The 22,125-nt window shown below is 36.2% G+C and overlaps 1 protein-coding gene across 3 annotated transcripts in view; it reads left to right on the top strand.

Annotated features, from left to right (window-relative positions):
* Positions 1 to 22,125, top strand: part of CYP7B1 (cytochrome P450 family 7 subfamily B member 1) — a 212,163-nt gene that overhangs the window by 151,106 nt on the left and 38,932 nt on the right. The gene's annotated exons all lie outside the window — the stretch shown is intronic.

Below are 22,125 nucleotides of genomic sequence, written 5' to 3'. Positions count from 1 at the left end.
AGCCTCAGCTCCCCCTGGTTCTCAGGCCTTTGGACTCAGACTGAATTATATTGTTAGTTTTCTGGGTCTCCAGCTTGCCAAAAGCAGATCATGAGACTTACCAACCTTCATAACCACGTGAGGCAATTCCTCATAATAAATAAATATATACAGACATATTTTGCATTTCACAAATATTGCATCTTTTATACATTGAAGGTTTGTGGCAGTCCTGAATTAAGCAAATCTATCAGCACCATTTTTTTTTGCAACACCATGTGCTCACTTCATATCTTTGTGTCACATTTTGATAATTCTCACAATATTTCAAACTTTTTCATTATTATTATACCTTTTTCAGTGATCTGTGGTCAGTGATCTTTGATGTTACTGTTGTAATTGTTGTGGGGCTCCAAGAATTGCACCCATATAAGATAGTGAGCTTAATCGGTAAATGTTGTATGTATTCTGACTGCTCCACTGACCAACCATTCCCCCATCTTTTTCTCTCTCCTCAGGCCTCCCCATTCCCTGAGACACAACAACATTGAAGTTAGGCCAATTAATAACCCTACAGTGGCCTTTAAGTGTTCAAGTGAAAGGAAGATTCACACTTCTCTCACTTTAAATTAAAAGCGAGAAATGATTAAGCTTAGTGAGGAAGGCATGTTGAAAGCCAAGACAGACTGAAATCTAGGCCTCTTGCACCAGTTAGCCAAGATGTGAATGCAAAATAAAAGTTCTTGAAGGGAATTACAAATGTTACTTCAGTGAACACACGTGTGAGAAAGTGAAGCACCCTTGTTGCTGATAGAGAAAAAGTTTTAGCCGTCTGAATAAAAGATCAAACCAGCCACAATATTCCCTAAGCTAGTCAAGGGCAGTTCGTGAGGTTTAAGGAAAGACACCATCTCCATAACATAGAAGTACAAGGTAAAGCTGATTGAGAAGCTGCAGCAAGTTATCCAGAAGATCTAACTATGATCATTGATGAAGATGGCTACATGAAACAACAGAATTTCCATGTACACAAAACAGCCCTCTATTGGAAGAAGATGCCCTCTAGGGCTTTCATAGCTAGAGAGAAGTCAGTGCCTGGCTTCAAAGCTTCAAAGGACAGATTCTCTTCTTAGGGGCTAATGCAGCTGGTGACTTTAAGTTGAAGCCAGTGCTCATTTACCATCTAGAAATCCTACAGCCTTTAAGAATGTGGTGTTTTTTGGCTGCATAAATGTCTTCTTTTGAGAAGTGTCTGCTCATGTCCTTCACCCACTTTTTGATGGGGTTGTTTGTTTTTTTCTTGTAAATTTGTTTGAGTTCATTGTAGATTCTGGATATTAGCCCTTTGTCAGATGAGTAGGTTGCGAAAATTTTCTCCCATTTTGTGGGTTGCCTGTTCACTCTGATGGTAGTTTCTTTTGCTGTGCAGAAGCTCTTTAGTTTAATTAGATCCCATTTGTCAATTTTGTCTTTTGTTGCCATTGCTTTTGGTGTTTTAGACATGAAGTCCTTGCCCATGCCTATGTCCTGAATGGTAATGCCTAGGTTTTCTTCTAGGGTTTTTGTGGTTTTAGGTCTAACGTTTAAGTCTTTAATCCATCTTGAATTAATTTTTGTATAAGGTGTAAGGAAGGGATCCAGTTTCAGCTTTCTACATATGGCTGGCCAGTTTTCCCACCACCATTTATTAAATAGGGAATCCTTTCCCCATTGCTTTTTTTTCCTCAGGTTTGTCAAAGATCAGATAGTTGTAGATATGCAGCGTTATTTCTGAGGGCTCTGTTCTGTTCCATTGATCTATATCTCTGTTTTGGTACCAGTACCATGGTGTTTTGGTTACTGTAGCCTTGTAGTATAGTTTGAAGTCAGGTAGTGTGATGCCTCCAGCTTTGTTCTTTTGGCTTAGGATTGGCTTGGCGATGTGGGCTCTTTTTTGGTTCCATATGAACTTTAAAGTAGTTTTTTGCAATTCTGTGAAGAAAGTCATTGGTAGCTTGATGGGGATGGCATTTAATCTATAAATTACCTTGGGCAGTATGGCCATTTTCACGATATTGATTCTTCCTACCCACGAGCATGAAATGTTCTTCCATTTGTTTGTATCCTCTTTTATTTCCTTGAGCACTGGTTTGTAGTTCTCCTTGGCCATCAGAGAAATGCAAATCAAAACCACAATGAGATACCATCTCACACCAGTTAGAATGGCAATCATTAAAAAGTCAGGAAACAACAGGTGCTGGAGAGGATGTGGAGAAATAGGAACACTTTTACACTGTTGGTTGGACTGTAAACTAGTTCAACCATTGTGGAAGTCAGTGTGGTGATTCCTCAGGAATCTAGAACTAGAAATACCATTTGACCCAGCCATCCCATTACTGGGTATATACCCAAAGGACTATAAATCATGCTGCTATAAAGACACATGCATATGTATGTTTATTGTGGCACTATTCACAATAGCAAAGACTTGGAACCAACCCAAATGTCCAACAATGATAGACTGGATTAAGAAAATGTGGCACATATACACCATGGAATACTATGCTGCCATAAAAAATGATGAGTTCATGTCCTTTGTAGGGACATGGATGAAATTGGAAATCATCATTCTCAGTAAACTATTGCAAGGACAAAAAACCAAACACCACATGTTCTCACTCATAGGTGGGAATTGAACAAGGAGAACACATGGACACAGGAAGGATAACATCACACTCTGGGGACTGTTGTGGGATGGGGGGAGGGGGGAGGGATAGCATTAGGAGATATACCTAATGCTAAATGACGAGTTAATGGGTGCAGCACACCAGCATGGCACATGTATACATATGTAACAAACCTGCACATTGTGCACATGTACCCTAAAACTTAAAGTATAATAATAATAATAAAAGAATGTGGAAATCTACTCTACATGTGCACGATAAATGAAATGATGTAGCCCAGACTTCAGCCATCTACAGCATAGGTTACTGAATATTTTAAGTTCATTGTTGAGACCTACTGCTCAGAGAAAAAAGATTTATTTCAAACTATTACTGCTTATTGACAACACACCTAGTCACCCAAGAGCTCTGATGGAGACATACAAGGAGATTAATGTTTTTGTATTGGCTACAATGTCTGTTCTACAGCCTATGGATGAAGGAGTAATTTTGACTTTAAATTCTTATTATTTAAGAAATACATTTCCTAAGAATATGGCTGCCATAGATAGTGATGCCTCCGATGGAGCTGGGAAAAGTTAATTGGAAACCTTCTGGAAATGATTCACCACTCTAGATGCCATTAAGAGCATTTGTGATTCATAGGAAGAGGTCAAATACCAATATTAACAGGAGTTTTGAAAAAGTTGATAGCCATTCTTTTTTTTTTTTTTTTGAGATGGAGTCCCACTCTGTCGCCCAGGCTGGAGTGCAGTGGCGCACTCTCAGCTCACTTCAACCTCAGCCTCCTGGGTTCAAGTGATTCTCCTGCCTCAGCCTCTGAGTATCTGGGACTACAGGTGTGCACCACCACACCCGGCTAATTTTTGTATTTTTAGTAGAGACGGGGTTTCACCATATTGGTCAGGCTGGTCTTGAACTCCTGACCTCGTGATCCACCTGCCTCAGTCTCCCAAAGTGCTGAGATTACAGGCGTGAGCCACCGCGCCTGGCCGCCATTCTTATAGGTGACTTTGAGAGGTTCAATACTTCCTTGGAGAAAGTAACTGCAGATGTGGTGAAAATAGCAGGAGAACTAGAATTAAAAGTGGAGCCTGAAGATGTGACCTAATTGCTGCAATCTCATGATAAAACTTAAACAGGTAGGAGTTGCTTGTTATGGAGAAACAGAAAGAGTGGTTTCTTGGGATGGAATCTACTCCTAATGAGGATGCTGTGAACATTGTTGAAATTACAAAAAAGGATTTAGGGTATTTCATAATTAGTTGATAAAGCAGCAACAGGGTTTGAGCGAATTGACTCCAATTTTGAAAAGTTTTACTGTGGGTAAAATACTATCAAACAGCATCAAAATGCTACAGAGAAATCTTTCATGAAAGGAAGAGTCAATTGATGCGACAAACTTCATTGTTGTCTTATTTTAAGAAATTGCCAGTCACTCCAACCTTCAGTAATCACCACCCTAATCAGTCAGCAGTCATCAACATCGAGGCAAGACCCTCCTCTAGCAAAAAGACTGTGACTTGCCAAAGGCACAGATGATCCTTAGCATTCTTTAGCAATAAAGTATTTTTAATTAAGATATGTACATTTTTATACATAGTGCTATTGCACACTTAATGGACTAGAGTGTAAACATAAATTTTATATGCACTGTAAAAAACGAATAATTCATGCGACTCACTTTATTGCGACATTTGCTTTATTGCAACATTCACATTATGATGGTGGTCTGGAACTGAACCTGCAGTATCTTCAAGGTATGCTTGTATATGTGTGTGTGTGTGTGTGTGTATATATATATGTATATATATGTATATATGTGTATATATGTATATATGTATATATGTATATATATGTATATATGTATATATATGTATATATATGTGTATATATATACACACACACACACACATCCTATTGATTCTTTTATTCTGGAGAACACTGACTAATACAAAACTGTATGGCCATATGAGAGACAGTTGCAGGATCTTCTATGACTGGGAGGCCAAATTAAGGTGGCAGATTTTCAGGAACCAAAGTATGTGTATTAGCATAAACAGACATATGTCCAAATGATTTATATGAGTGTTGATAATGAAATGTATATGCTCTGGGACACAGCACCCCAGGGCTCACTACTGTCCCAAGATGGATGTTGAGTTGGACAATGTCATCAGCCTGTAAGCACCCCATTCACTGCCTTTCCCACCTGGTGCTTTACTTCTGTATATATAAATGGTCAAAATTTGTGCCCTGAAAAGAAGTATGTTACAACAATTTTTAAATGTTCTATAGCTGACCATAATTTGGATATTCAACAAAAGGTTAAAATCCTGTTGATTCACACAGGGACAGTTCATTGCAGATGCATCATCACCAAACCTTAATTACATTGTTCAACAATGGTTTGTTCTCTTGTCTTCCTCTAGTGAGGAACCTGTGACGAATCCTAAAATGTTAAAATAATGGTTTCCAGCCCATACCAAATAAATCATCATCTGTGAAGGTTTGGGAGCAAAATTTTAAAAATCTTCCCTGGGGATCCTACAGTAAATTCGGGGTCAAGTGCTGTTACATTAAAATTTGGGAGAAAAAATAAAACAGGAAGACACACTTAGGGAATAGTCCAACGAGGTGGACCCTGGGTAGAAAGTGGGACAATAGATTGTGACACATTACTAGGACTTCGAATCAATTTAGTGGGTTCCAAAAAAAAAAAAATTTAAAATAGAAGAGGAAATAGAGTACAATACACATAGTAAGGTATCATTTTGTGACTTTTAGTTATGTCTACATATTTATATATCTATACATGCATATGTGTATTACATCATAATGTACATGCTAGATCAAAAGTATTGGCAAAACATTGATCTAGGATAATGAGTACATATATTAACACATATTTTGCAATCAGTGTGAGGTATGCAAAGAACCATGTAGTTCATTACCTGAAACAAAGAGCTTTTTGTTTAGCTCTTATGAGTCATTTTTGGCTAGGTTACACTGCAGTAACAAATAACTCAGTGGCCTACAACTCAAAGAAAATTTTGCTCAGTCTATATGTTTACCATGAGCCATTGTCTTCCTTCCAGTTTCCAGATTTAAGGAGAATATTCTGTGTGTGATGTTTTTTTTTACTTGTGGCAGTAGGAAGAGAACATAGTGGAACCATGTGATGGCTCATACAGCTTCTGTTGGGAAGTGGCATATGTTGCTCCTAACAGTTCATCAGCCAAAGAGTCATGTGACTAAGCTTGGTACCCATGGGACATCAATTAATAATGCTTTTACCCGGAGAAACAGTGGCTACTGTGAACACCACTACAATCTACCACAGTGTATCAGATGTTTCCTTAAAAATTTACCTTTAAGAACTATCAAGTTATCATATTCCTTGTTTTCAGGACTTTATTGAGATTTTGGAAAGAATTAGTTTTCCTGAACCTTTTCAAGTAAATATTGCTGGTTCTAGTCTCAAATAACTTTTGGTACCCTTGTCTCTTTGATACAAATAAGGAAACTTTCTTGGTGATATTGAATACTTTAAAACCTTCTGAGACTCAATCACATGTCCTCATCTTTCTTTTCTTTTGCTTTAGATGGCTTACTTTTTGTATTTTACTTTTATCAACCAGACTGATTCTTTTAAAAGAAAAACAGGCATTAAACTGGACTAGGATTTGATGTAAGTCAATTCTAGAGATATTCCTTGGAATCTGGAGGTGGAGAAAAGGTATGAATAGGATGTAAGATTTGAAAACCCTTTAGCTACCACACTCTGTCTGGTATCAAGTGGCTCATTTTGTTTCCAGAGAATTAATGTTGTTTCCAAAAATTAGCTCTCATATGGCTCATTCAGGTAACCAGCGTTGAATATGGAAATTAGATTTTTGTTCGTACAAGTTTATTGCACTATAGTTTATGAATCACAATGGCTAAGTGCCAAACTCCCTTTCAAGCTAAGCAGCCTCTTTGCTATGTTATTCCAGCTGAGTCTTTTATTTGAAGTGTTTCTTCATCTTGGCTCATTTAGCCACAAATAGAAGTTGCCCTATGGGAGATAACATCTTATGCTTATTTACTTTATAGGATTATCACCTCTGGGCTCATCACAAGTGCAAAACATCAGAAAAGAGAAAAACCTGATTTCAGAAAGTCAGAATTCCCGTAACCATGACATTTACCTAATTTTCTTTGGGTAGTGTGTGTCACAATCATTGGATTGTGAGTTAGGAGACCTGGTCCCTGATATTTTTTGCTTATTTGATGCTGTATGACTTTGGGCAAGTTATTTTACATCTCTGATTCTGTTTCCTTATTTGTAAAGCACACAGTGAGCTAGGTGAATCTTCCAAATCTCTTTTAGTTTCAGGACCCTGTTCTATTTATGGAATTTTGCAGAAGTCATATGGATTGTTCAGCAAAATCATTAAAGGAGAGAGTTCGGCTTGGAAAATACAAAGATAAAAATGTTTCTTTATATACAGATATGGTACAAAAATTGCCAACAATATCTAAGCTTAAACCTAACATTTAAGTTCTGTAGATAGGCCCTTGCTTTCTTTACCTAATGATAGAAATTTAAATATACTATTTGCAGTGATATATTTCATTCAGAAACTTGTCTGATAACTGAAATATGAAATTAATCTTAGTCTCATTTTTTCATGAGGTTTGTTGAGATATAATTTATATACCATGAAATGTATCCATTTTAAGTGTACAATTAGGCAAATTTTAGTTAACTGATAGTTTTGCAGCCATCACCACAATCCGGTTTAGAACACTTCCATCAGCACCCAAAATTTCCTTAAGCTTGTTGCCATTTAATCCCTGCTCCTACCCTCAACCCCAAGGGAATGCTGATCTGCCTTTTGCCTCTATTTTTATCTTTTCAAAAAATTTCATATAAATGGAATCAGGTGTCTGGTTTCTTTGTCTTAGCATAATGCTTTTGGGGGTTTAATCAATGTTGTTGCATGGATCAGTGATTTGTTCTTTTTTCTTTTATTCCATTTCTTTTCTTTTCCAGTTCATTTCTTTTATTCTATAAACTAAATATTATTCCATTGTGTAGATACACCACATTTTGTTTACCCATTCACTAATCAATAGACATATGAATTATTTCTAAATTTTGACTATTATGATTAATACTCCTATGAACATTCACATATAAGTCTTTGTATGGACATGTGTTTTTGTTTCTCTTGGGTAGAGATAATTAGAAGTGGAATTGTTAGGTCACATATTTTATGTGTGTTAAAGATTATAAGAAACTGCTACTCTTTTCCAGGTAACTGTACTATTTTATATTCCCGCCAGCCCTGTATGAGAGTTCCAGTTTCTCCTCATCCTTGCTAACACCTGATAATAGTCATTCTTTTTTTTATTTTAGCCACTGTGGTGGGTGTATAGTAGTATCTCATTTTAGTTTATAATTTGCATATATCTAAAGACTTGTGATGTTGAACATCTTTTCATGTGCCTATGTCTATCTTTTTGGTGAAATGTTTATTCAAACCTCTTGCCCATTTTTTAAATCAGATTGTTTGTCTCCCTATAGTTATAAGGCTTCTCTATATGTTCACCCCTAAGTTTTAGGGGACTTTCCCTGCCATCAGCATCTATATATTTCAATATATATACACTACTTAATTCTTTCATACCAATGCTTTGAAGTAAAATCCTGTTGCAATAACTGAGTGGAATTTTTAACGTTGGACAAGAAACAGAATAATTTTTAAATGTTCATTGACAATAATTAAGAGTATTTTGAGGACTTATCTGTAAGCTATCAAAATGGTAAATTTTTTTTTTTACAAATCTAACAGTAGCTTCTGTTTTCTTAGTTTGTGTCCTATTTATAGAGAAGGAAAAAAAACACCTTCTATAGATGTATAAAAGTCTGTGAAAATCCAGCTATTTCTGAGGAGAGAAGAGGAAGTATCTGAGGAACCAGAAGGAGAGAGAGACACTAGAACCCTTGTTTTTAATGCTTCCTATTCTACTGTGAGTTAAGACATCTGCCTTCTAAAGGGTGGTTTGTGGAAGGAATTAATGAGTTACTGACCTTGGCATCACTTTTTCTAGGTCCCAATTTAAAATACATATACATGTTCATGCACACACACAGGCACACACACACACACACATACACAAAAGTAGCATATTTCTTTGCCCTAGGTTCTCTCTGCCAGTTATTCCTAATCCTCCCAGCCCCTGAAACAAATTAGTATCACTTACGCGAGTGTTGGAGTAGTTTTGGGAACAACACAGTGAAATAATAAAATCCCTTACTCCACCCTGGAATTGTAACTAACAACTTGTATAACTATAGAGGACATCATCTTTCCTTCATTCCTGACTTCTAATGCCAACCTGGCCTGATATCTTCTGTCTATTCTTATCTCCACAAATGGAAATAAACTCAAAAATATTCTACCTACAAATGTTACTCCAAATGACTTCAGCAACAGTCTCCAAAAAACTATAAAGAAAAATTCAAAATTGGTTAATGTTAACTCTTTGTAGGAAATATACTACTGTATATTTGTATACCATGCTCTATTTCAAAGTCCTCAAAGCAAAATTAACATAAACAAAATCTCATTCATTTAACTACAAAAGAGAGGTAGCTCATCAAAACAAGATTCCCTTCCAGCCACCATGGAAGAAAGTCCACCAGCCCTGCAAACACACACACAGCCTTATTGCAAATATGAATGGATGCTAAGGATCTGGAGCTAGTGAGGAAAGTCGCCATCATGAAAAAGAGAAAGCATAACTTTAAAAACTGAAACAAAGAGACTTGGAGAAAATAGACAATTCAAGGAACATGAAAAAAAAAATCCCAAGAAACTATGTTTAATAGTCTTAGAAAAATAAGAGTAGAAATTGCATTTATGAATCAAGAATGACATGCAGTTTTCATAAGGTATAATCGGAGAGTATAAGAGAACTTTGGGAAATTAGAAATCTAAAAGTAGAAATAAAATAATCTATGAAAGGGATAAAGTCAGGAAAATCTGTCAGTAAGTGGAGCAAAAGATAAAGTGATGGAAAATAGGAGAGGAGCTATATGAAAATTACAGGACCATATGTCTGACCATATTGAGAATTTAGAGAGCACTGAAGGAAATTGATAAGAATTAGTGATGAGTACATAGAAATGAGGCACGTGCAAAAACAAAGCAATTGAACGCTATCTAAATAATGAAAATGGTGTAAACATTGAAAGTTTATTTCACAAAACATGTGGGAGGGTACAGACAAGATGGGGTAGCCTAAGCAAAGGACACTGCAAGAATTAAGATGTCTAAAATATGTAAGAGGTTATCTATAATAGAATTTGACAATTTGCAAACTATAATGATTTCTGTATATAAATATGATGCTGTGCCTTCTATGTCCCATGTTCTAATACTGGTGATGATGGATTTCCTGAAGTAATCATACACTATTCATGCAGTGACTTAAAATCACCAAAGTCAGGAACTGATCTTTGGAAAAGAATGTTATTTTCCCAGTTGTAAAGCCCTGTAGCTCATGACAACACCAAAACACTGCCCTTCTCAGCACCGTGTGCTGTGTAGAGATATTATTAGTTTTTGCTATGTTAATAGTTTATCCAATATTAAAATATGGGCATGAGTTAACATATTATGAAGCAGGTATAGCATATGGGGCCTCAGGCTTTTCATTATCTTCCCACTTCAGTAAACTAGAGTATCCTTGAAATGTCTTTTCTGTGATTGTGATAAGCTGTGCTTGATTATTTTGGTGTTGATCTGCAGAATTTGGAACTTTGTTTCTCCATTGACAGGGGTTGATAAAACGTCATTTGTTAACTTGACTATGCATTTATACATCATTCTCATTGATCTGTATATTGTCATTACCAAGGCTTTCTGGGCTAGTCCTCTGTAATAATTTAGTTTCCACAAAACTGTGGGTTCTAATTTTTTATTAAACATTTCAAAATCAAATGAAAGAAATTATGAGTTAATGGAATTGATATCTCTTCCATGGAGTCCAATCAAATCCCATCTGTAAAGTAAATTAACAACTGATCATCTCAGAAATTACAAATTTAGTTGCATGGTTTTCTATTTTAATTAAGGGGCTGAAATAACTTCAGTTATGAATCGACTTCCCCCTTTCAGATTGTCTAGGCCGTTGAAACATTTTTGACTCGCTTTCTCCTAAGATCCAGTGCACTTCAGAGCCACTTCTGTTCCCCTGAGTTTGTTTGCTTAGAGAATACAAAGCCTAGAATGTTAGAGTTTCTTTCAGAGCAGGCAGGTTATTCTGGTGCCTCATCTGTGACCAGCATATCATATATGGCAGCCCTAAAATAAAATCTAAATTAGGCAAATAAAGAAAGTGGTCAAGTGAATGAAAAAATCTTTAAAATTAGTACTTTATTGAAAATGTTCAGGAAAAAAGGGTCAGGAGAGAGCCATGATTAGATTTGTATTTTAGATGATCCCAGGTATTGGTACAGAGATAATATAATAAATAATAACAATAATAGTAACTAACATTTTTGATGCTTACTGTGTGAGTCATTGTGTTCAGTTTTTTATATTCATCAATTTATTAAATTCTCACATAAGGAAAATACCATAGGGTATTCATTTTACAAATGAGGAACCGGAGGCAAATATAATTAAATGGACCAAAGTTACCAAGGTAGGAGTTGGCAGAGCCTGGGAGCTGAGCCACACAGTGAGACTACAGCACCCTCGTTCTGGGTAGTGACATTAGCCAGGAGGCTATTGCAGTCATGCACATGAGAAAGGATGAGGGTTAGAACCCTAGAACCCTGCTAATCCAGGGTTAAGTTAATAGAGAAAGGCACTTGAGTGGTGTGGTCATTCATCGTTTGTGGGGCCTGCTCGAAACTCAATTAAGTTTTAAATGATAGTTTTAAAACTCTACCTTGACATTATTTCCATGGTGCAAACCTAAGCACCCCTCCCAGATTAGAAACAACAACAACAACAAAGTTCTAGACTTCTCTGGTTGAAATCTTACATAGATACAAAGAAGCACTTACAAATCACTCACTTGATCAAGGCATTAGTATTAATATAATTCTGCTAATAGAATCGAGTTTACAAGGCACATTCTACAGACAAAGCTTTATTTGGATCACAAAATTACATAGATGAACTGACAGCTAAAGATTCAGCTGGTATATGGCTTGAAGAGTTATGCTCTGGAGGGTGAAAATACATTTCATCATATTCATGTTGATTTTGCTCTGAATTCACCTGAGAAATTCCATGGAGAAATATGTGACTATTCAGCATTACTTGCTTTTACATTGCCATTATTTGTAAAGCTTTGATTAAAAGTGCTTGAACAGTGAATATCTTTGCAGGAAAATTAAATCAAGTTTTAAGTCAAATGCTATCCTGATAGAGTCAAAACGTTTCAGAGTAAGAGGCTTCTTTATTCTTACAGACCGTTCTAGAGTGGTCACTAGACTAAAGATAACAGACCTTTCTAGACTGGTGCAGAAGTTACCAAAGAACAGAGAGCTGCATTATTGATAGCCTGGAAGTGACATTTTATACAGGAATTTTTCATTTATTTGCTGTGAAGCAGAGGGTGTGTGAACACCAGATGTCAATCACATACCACCAGTAGATTTGCAAGATTATAGGACTGGGGAAAAAATGAAGGTTAAGCACAGGGGACAATAGAGATTACTTGGGGTAATGAATTGCATAATTTTTCTAGACAGAGTTGGATTAATGTTCATCCTGAGAAGAGATTACATCAGTCTGATTCTTGCAGTAAACAAATATTAAGCAGATAACTTTACTCAACAAGGGGAAAATTGACCTAATTCCTAACTGTACCCGTGAGATGCTCTTGAGTTTGGCAAGGAAGTAGACACTGTGTGCTGTGTGTCACATGTTTCTTGCTTCGAGTAGAACCTTGAAGAGACCATCAGGACCTTCAGTTGTCAAGTCCAACAGCTGCACTGCAACTGTGAAAAGCCTTTCTCCCTGCTGAGGTTGTCAAAGGAACCGATTCTGCCTGCCTCATTTGCATGTCACCTGGACACTGGTGAAAGTAATGGGGTATCCTTAGGTTGCACTGTGTGTCCATACTTTGTACAGTTAGAGCAGCTAAACCTCAGTGTCTACTCTTCATTTTTGGAGTACAGTTCAGGTAGGTTCTGCTTGTCCTCATGGTGAATTTCAGGCTGATTCTCCACTTAATTGACTTAGGAATGTTGAGCTTTTTTAAAAAAATCAACCTTTGATTCATTTGTAGACTGTACTTTTTGTCATCAACTACTTTTTAGAAGGCAGTGCCTTCTGTACATGGATTTCACTTTTAACACCAACATAGCATTTCTTTCTTTTTTTTTTTTTTCTTTTTTGAGATGGAGTCTTGCTCCATTGCTCAGGCTGGAGTGCAGTGGCGCAATCTCGGTTCACTGGAACCTCCATCTCCCAGGTTCAAGCGATTCTCCTGCCTCAGTCTCCTGAGTAGCTGGGAATACAGGTGTGTGCCACCATGCCCGGCGAATTTTTTTTTTTTATGTATTTTTCATAGAAATGGGGTTTCACCATGTTGGCCAGGCTGGCTTCGAATTCCTGACCTCAGGTGATCTGCCCACCTTGCCTTCCCAAGGTGCTGGGATTGCAGGTGTGAGCCACCACACCCAGCCCCAAAATAGCATTTCTTTATTATTTAAAAATATGCACCTAAAAGGACATATCACTTCTGTAGAATTATTTCTCAAAATGTTATTATTAATACCTCAATCTAACCATGAAAAATATCAGACAACCCAACCCAAATGGAGGGCCATTCTACAAAATAAATGACAACTACTCTTCAAAAGCAGTATGTTTATGTCATGTGCAAATCAAAAGATATCAAAGATCAAACCTTTGTAATCTCACCACCTGAGATTAATGACTACTAACATCTTAAAGTAACATATACCAGACTTTTCTCTTTGCATTTTGCAACTACTTTGTAAAAATCAGTTGTCTATATTTGTGTGGGTCAATTTCTAGGCTCTCTGTTCTGTTCCATTAATATGTTTGTCTATTCTTTCATCAATACCACACTCTCTTGTTTCTTATGGTTTTATATTAAGTCTTAACATCAGGTAGTATAAGTCTTTCCACTTTGTTCTTCTCCTTCAATATTGTCTTTTGCCTTTCCATATAAACTTCAGAATCAGTTTGTTGATATCCATAAAACATCTTACTAGAATTTTGATTGGGATTGCATTGAATCTGTAAATCAAGTTGAGAACTGACTTGACAATATTGACTCTTCCTATCCATGTGCATAGAATATCTCTCTATTTCAGATCTTCTTTGATTTTTAATCAGAGTTGTATAGTTTTCTTTATATAGATTTTATACATATTTTGTTGGATTTATACCTAAGAATAAATTTTTTCACTAAGTTAACTTTGTATATTTTGTTTTGATTAATGTAAGTAGTATTGTGTTTCTAATTTCAAATACCAATTGTTCATTGCAGTTATATAACAAAGCAATTGACTTTTGTATATTAATCTTGTACCTTGCAACTTTACTGTAGTACTTCATTAGGTCTAAAATTTTGTTGTTACTGATTCTTTGAGATTTTCTATGTAGACAAAGAATGAGTAAGCAAAACCACAGATGTGCAATTGCTTACAAAATATGAATAGCAGGGAAAAACTAATCCTGCTGTGTATATCAGCTACTTTCAAATACTCTTATCTCAGTCTGAATGATAAACCACCAAGGTTGGTATCAACATTCTCCTTTACAGGTGAAGACACTGAGGATCTACATAGATAGTGTACCGGATTTAAAATTTCCCCATGAGTCAAATGTGCAGAAATGTAAATTTATTTCTTCATATCTGAACTCAAATTTCTCTTGAGCCCTGATTTCTGGTGATGACTGAAAACACTGAAGACTTCCAGTGACAATAGTCTGGTCACTTCTGGTTTAAAACCTAGTCCCTTTTGTAAAACTATTTAATAAAATTTAAGACTCTCTCCCCGCCCCCCTTCCTTTCTGTCGATGGCAGTTCTTTTCTTTTCATCTTCCTTTCTTTCTTCTCCATTTGTATATTTTTAAATTTCATTTTCTATCTTACTGCATTAGCTAGGACTTCCAGAATGATATTGGATAGCAGTGATGAGAGGGACATTATTGCCTTGTTTCTGATCTTAATGGGAAAGCACCTACTTTCTCACCAATAAGTATGATGTAAGCTGTAGATTTTTTTGTAGATGTTACTTATGAAGTAGAGGAAGTTCACCTCTGTTTCTATTGTGCTAGGAGTTTTATCATGAATGGGTGCTGGATTTTTTTTTACATTGGTTGATCCCTTAAGATTTTTTGTTTATTTTATTGTGGTAGGAACACTTAACATGAGATCTACTCTTAATAAATTTTGAGGTGTACAGTACATTACTGTTGACTATACATACAATGTTGTACAGCAGCAGCTCTCTAGAGCTAATTCATCTTGCTTAACTGAAACTTTATACCTGCTGATTAGAAACTCCCCATTTCCTCCCTCTCCCCAGCCCCTAGTAACAACAATTTCACTCTTTGTTTTATGAAATTGGCTATCGTAGATATCTCACATAAGTGGAATCATGTAGTGTTTGTTTTCTGTACTTGGCTTATTTCATTTAGGATAATGTCCTCCGCGTTTATCTGTGTTGCTTCATATTGCAGAATTTCCTTTTTTAAGGCTGGATAGTATTGCATTGTATGTTTATACCAAATTTTCCTTATCCATTCATGTGTCAGTGGACATTTAGGTTGGTTCCACATGTTAGCTATTGTGAATAGCCCTTCAAGAACACTAGAATGCTAATATTTCTTCCAGATCCTGATTTCATTCTTTTCGATAAATATCCAGAAGTGGATTATATAATTACTAGATCATATGGTAATTCTATTTTTAATTTCTTGAAGAAGCTTCATACTGTTCTTCATAGCAGCTGCACCATTTTGGAGTCCCACCAATAGTGTACAAGGGTTCTCACTTCTCCACATCCTTAGCAACACTTGTTGTCTTTGTTTTTTTGGATAATAGTCATCCTGACAGGTATGAGGTGCTATCTCATTGTGAATTTAATTTGCATTTCCCTGATCATTAGTGACATTGGCATTTTTTCAATACCTGTTGGCTACTTACATGTCTTCTTTAGAGAAATATCTGTTTAAGTCCTTAGCCCATTTTTTAATTGGGTTATTAGGATTTTTACTGTTGAGTTTTAGGAGTTCCTTATTTTTCAAAACATTAACCTTTTATCAAATATGTGGTTCACAAATATTTTCTTCCATTCTGTAGGTTTTCTTTTGACTCTGTCAGTTGTTTCTTTTGCTATGCAGAAGTTTTTCCATTTGATTTAGTCTCGCCAGTTTATTTTCGGTTCTGTTGCCCATGCTTTTGGTGTCATATCCATGAAATCATTACCAAGACCAACATTAAGGAGCTCTTTCCTCATATTTTCTTCTAGGAGTTTTACAGTTTTGGGTCTTGCATTTAAGTCTTTTTTCCATTTTGAGTTTATTTTTGTAGGTAGTATAAGATAAAGGGGTACTGGATTTTGTCAAACATTTTTTTCTTTATTGATATGAGCAGATGATTTTTTTTCTTTAGCCTGTTGGTGCAATGGATTACATTAATTCATTTTTGAATGTTGAACCAGCCTTGCATACCTGGCGTAAATTCCACTTGCTCATGGTGTATAATTATTATACATTGTTGGATTCAATTGATAATTATTTTATTGAGAATTTGTGCATCTATGTTTATAAGAGGTATTGGTCTGCAATTTTCCTTTCTTGTAATGCTTATAATGTCTTTGTCTGGTTTTGGAATTAGGGTAATGCTGGCCTCATGGAATGAGTTAGGACATGCTCCCTCTGCTTCTATTTTCTACAAGAGATTAATGTTAATGTTTGATGGAATTCACCAATGAGACTATCTGGGCCTGAAGTTTTTCCCAGGTCACTGTCCTCCTTAGAGAGTCCCAGCTTACCATGATGCAGTCTCACTATTCCTCTGTCCTGCCACTTCTTTTCTTCTTTCTCTTTCTCTTTAACGTCCCAACCCCCACATTCTTGTTCACTTCTTCTATAGAACAATCTCATTATCTCTTAAAGCAGGTCATGCCCAGTGGACCACATCGAAATTATCAAACATCCAATGAAACTTTGCTTCTAAACAAAGATAGTTCATTTTCTGAGAAAGCTCTTTGCATAGCATATTTTTGCCTGCTCATCTGAAGTTACTGAGTTCGTGTTTATCTGGGCATTTGGCAGTTTTACTTAACTGATGTGTTGAAGGATGAAGAGGGCCTTCAGACCTGGGCAACTCCTTGAAAGGTATAGATAAGCAGAGAGAGTTGACAAAAGAAACAGTTCAGGCAGAGAATGAGTAAGCAAAACCACAGATATGCAATTGCTTGCAAAATATGAATAGCAAGGAAAAACTAATCCTGCTGTGTATGTCAGCTACTTTCAAATACTCTTATCTCAGTCTGAATGATAAACCACCAAGGTTAGTATAAACATTCTCCTTTACAGGTGAAGACACTGAGGATCTACATAGATAGTGGGCCAGATTTAAAATTTCCCCATGAGTCAGATGTACAGAAATGTAACTTTATTTCTTCATATCTGAACTCAAATTTCTCTTGAGCCCTGATTTCTGGTGATGACTGAAAACACTGAAGACTTCCAGTGACAATAGTCTGGCCACTTCTAGTTTAAAACCTAGTCTCTTTTGTAAAACTATTTAATAAAATGTAAGACTCTTTCCCCCCACTTCCTTTCTGTTGATCTGATGAGTCCTGTTGTGCAAATGTTCCTATTGGTCCTCTTTGGCTTCCCCAGGGTGCCTTCTCAGATATCTTTGGGTATAGCCCTCCACCTTTGCGTTCATTGCTAAAATGTGCCCAGTTGGTTGTAAATCTCACCTCATTTCCTGGCAGAGCAATACATTGTGGCCTTGTGCTTCCTTGTCCCCACCAGGCCTCTCACTGGGGCTTCTGGTCTCCCTAGACTCAGCCACATCTTCCATCTCCTCCTCCTTTGGGATCTCCCATCCACAGCCTTGTATTGAGATACTCCTCTTCCCGATATCCTGACAAACATGCAATTCTTGATTATCAAGAGTTGTTAGAACATTTCTAAGTTTCCTTGTGCTAACATCAGAGCCCAAGAAGTGTGCGGGGATAAAGAGTGTTTCAAGAATTCAGTTCCAAGAGGTACTATGAAGCAAATTACATTTTCCATTGAGGTTGCTGCCAAAGTAAGTCAAAGAACGGTAAAACACAGCAGCTTCCAAAGTGCCTTGCTCAAAAAAAAAAAGTCGTTCAAACATTCAGAATTATCATCAGATACTGTAATGTATATCAGTTGTGTAGTTTCTGAAATTTTAACCACATACACAAAAAGAAAATCTTCATTAATTCAGGAAAATAAAAAAATAAAACTAAGGCACTGTTACATATATTCGGTCACCTAATACAAATATATTACATCTTTAAGCACTTTTAATAAATACGTAATTTTATTTTTTCTAGTTAGTGTGCATGTATAAAGGTTGCTCACCACCTACTTAGGAGGTTATTGCAATAACCTGAACGCCTAGCCTAGAATGATTACAGGAAAAGTGGAAAAGAAGAAATTACTCTGATAAGTATAGATTGCTGTAAGAAGCGCTGGACTTTTTTTTTTTTTTTTTTTTTGAGATGGATTCTCACACTGTCACCCGAGCTGGAGTGCAATGGCACAGTCTCAGCTCACTGCAACCTCTGCTTCACAGGTTCAAGCGATTCTCCTGCCTCAGCCTCCCGAGTAGCTGGGATTACAGGTGCCCACCACCATGCCTGGCTAATTATTTGTATTTTTAGTTGAGACGGGGTTTCACTATGTTGGCCAGGCTGGTCTCGAACTCTTGACGTCATGATCCGCCCACCTCAGCCTCCCAAAGTGCTGGGATTACAGGCGTGAGCCACTGTGCCCGGCAGCGATGGGCTTTAAATGTTGAGGGGAAAAAATGTGCAATAGGTCACTAGTCAAGTTTTTAACATGTTTATTTAACTACAGGTATAGCATGAAGATGAACTTCAAATATTATGGGAAATTAAATATTCTGTGTTGGTCTACTCTTTTAAATTTCAGAGTACCTCTTCTTAACTAAAGAGAAATGTCTTAAACCTCTTTACACTTTACATCCATTTTATGTATTTAGATTCTTCTCCAGTATTTCATTTTATTTATTTCATTTTGTTTTATTTTATATTTTATTTTATTTTATTTTATTTGAGACAGAGTCTTGCTCTGTTGCCTAGACTAGAATGCAGTGGTGCGATCTTGGCTCACTGCAACCTCTGCCTCCTGGGTTTAAGTGATTCTTGTACCTCAGCCTCTTGAGTAGCTGGGATTACAGGCAAGCTTTACCCTGCCCAGCTAAATTTTTTGCAGTTTTAGTAGAGAAAGGTTTTGACTGTGTTGATCAGGCTGGTCTCCAACTCCTAGCCTCAAGTGACCTGCCCTCAGCCTCCCAAAGTGTTGGGATTACAGGCATGAACCACCACTCCCCGTCTCCAAAATTTGTTTCCAGATAACTTTGGACTGTAGATGACATTTTGCACACACTTTAAGATGTGCCCTACAACTTGTATGAAAGAAACTGTAAGCACTGATGCAATGGTACTTGCATAGAACTTGGGTTTAGTTATCAAGAGCCTGTATAAGCTCAAATTTGTGTGATGTCTTAGATGTGTTCTTATAGTTTTTTAAACGGTAATGAGAAGATTTGAGGAAATGTATATTGTTTGAGATTATGAGGGAGTAGGGAACATAGTATTTGTTAGCTCCCCATCATTGCTTTTGGACCTATTTCATTTAAGTTTTGAAACTTGATCAACCCCAACAAGCATCCTATATCCCTACTCAGCCATGGGCAGTGTGTATTTCATTTTCAAAGTCACAGAGCATGAGAGAGACAAATAGCAGTATTTGCACTGTGCTGTGTGTCATCAGGCCTTTCTCGATCATTATGGTGATGTCTTTCCTCCCTAAATAATTTTTACAAATATACTGATGAAGACAGATTTCTGTTATCTATCTTCAATGGGTCATAAGTTGAACAAGCACTATATTTTTTCCTGAAAATATGCACAGTTGTGACATGGTGTTTAATAGTCTTAAGCTTACTGCTGCCAAAATAAACACAGCTGTAAGAAATGATGACCCTCTCATCTTTGTAACAATAAAATAGCTTCCTAATGTGCTTCCCTAACTCTGAATGTTAAGTTAATATCCCCTGGATTTCTGAGCCCTATCCTTTCCCCTGGCGGAAACCCCATGAAGAATACAGCTTTTGACCAAATAACAGAGCATAGAGGATGAAATTAGTTGCTTTAAATTAGAATATGACAAAAAGCTTTTCTAAATCTTTGTCAAAATGCAACATTCAAGCAACATTAAACCAAACAGAGTATAAGTAGACCAAGGAAGAGAGTTAATATTTTGAAAAGAAATTTGGTGAACTAGATCACTTGCAAATTTGAAAGGGTCATTGATAGCATGTGAGCTGTGGCAGTTTGTAACTTGGGGATCCTACTCTACAGTTACATGCGTGGTCTCCTCTTGTTCAATCTTTGGATATGGAATTAACTGTATTAATGGTTTTTTTGGTTTTCTTATATTTCTCATAAAAGCAAGTCTCCATTGCTAAAGCCTGCATTCAAGAAAATAATGGGAGAAAGTATAATGAGTAAGATTCCCATCTCTATGCAGTGTTTCTTGTTTTCCTATTTCTAAGTATGTGCATTTAAACAACAGTATACATTTTGTAAATTAGCATTAAGATAAATTGTCTTCTAAAAAGAGAAAGCAAAATCTTTCCTTTATTTCTATCATAACTTGGATTTATTTTGACATTCTTTCCCCTGAAAGATCTGAGTTTTATTTTCAAAGTGAAATTCTACCATGTTGGATTGTGGGAAAATAAAAGCCTCTGATATGGTTAATCTAGCTACATAAAAGTCCATGCTGGGTATGATCATAATCTTGATCTTTGATTAAATCTGAGCTAGTAATATCTTGTGATTAATCAAAATGAGTTGCACTGCATGTAGCACAAGTCGTCTTCACAGATGGGCTTTCAGAATCAGAGTTCTTTTAAATATCTGTTTTAATCCTTTCTAGGATAAAATGGCTTTGTTTTCTGTTTTTGTTTCTTTTTACCTTTTTTACTTTAAATCAGATTGAGTTCACCAAATAAATAACTAGGAAGACATTTTGAAGTATAATCTTGCTAAGATTACAAATCAACAAAGAAAAAACTTGTTTTTTAACTGATAGTATTCCAAAGGATTTTTTGTATGTTAAAAAATGCAAATTATTAGTAAAATTTAACAAATCGTCTCAATCATTGGTAGCTTGAATAAAAAACTTTATGAAAGACTAAATCAAAATAATACCTCAAATACATAATATGGAGATTTTTATAGTTCTCAATTTAAGATTATTATTTCTCTTCTGATTATGTATTTCCAGTCTAATTGACATCTGATAACAAAGAGCTTTACTCTGGCAGCTAAACTTTCCAACTTCTAAAACCCAGGGCACAGCAAGAGCCCTCAGGTTCACACACACAATGTCTGTCAGCTCTGGCAGTGAGCTGCTTTGGTGGTTTTTTTTCCCTAGGTCCACAGGTTAACTGACTAATGTTTCTAAAGGGGCCAGAGAGCAGCTGTGGGACTCCAAGTCTTGCATCCTGGTACACAGCTTGTCCTTACATAGTTTCATGACTTTAAGGAAACTTGTTGATCTCTTAGGCCTTGAGAACTCTTACCTATAAAAATGAGAAATTGCATGAAAGTCTCCAAGGTGCCATCTAGTTCTAAACTCGGTGATAAATCAATTCAGTGAAAAATTTCACAACAAATACTTGAATATGACTTGCATATCCTAAAGAACACATCTCCATTTACTATGTTAAGTAGACTTAAGTGGCTTAAAAAACTTCAAATCCCATAATGCATCATCCCTCTATACCTTTATTATATAAGAATATAATCGAAGGTTTTTTAAGATTTAAAAAAAAAAGAAAGAAAGAAACCCTCATAGCCTTTATTTGTGGAAAGACCTAAATGCCTATACATGAGTTGGAATTTAAAATGAGGTGGGGTTAGTTTGACTGAGTCTACACATATAAAAACACTGTGCTGTATAGAAAACAAAATAATCAGTAATTGACATTGTTTAGGTGATTTCTGACAAGCAGTTTGACTAGAACTCAGATTTGGCCTGTTCCACTGCACATCACCAAGCACATAGCAGATAACATAAATATTAGTCAAAACTAAGTTTAGGTCTCATTGATGAAACTGATCAAGCAGCATTTATAACATGACTTGTGAAAGACCAATAAAATCAGGCAGCTGATCATTTGT

The sequence above is a fragment of the Homo sapiens genome, chromosome 8 (genome assembly GCF_000001405.40).
Source record: "Homo sapiens chromosome 8, GRCh38.p14 Primary Assembly".
Lineage (NCBI taxonomy): Eukaryota > Metazoa > Chordata > Mammalia > Primates > Hominidae > Homo > Homo sapiens.
Note: the sequence above shows the minus strand (reverse complement) of the source record. Positions and strands in the feature narration are given on the sequence as shown.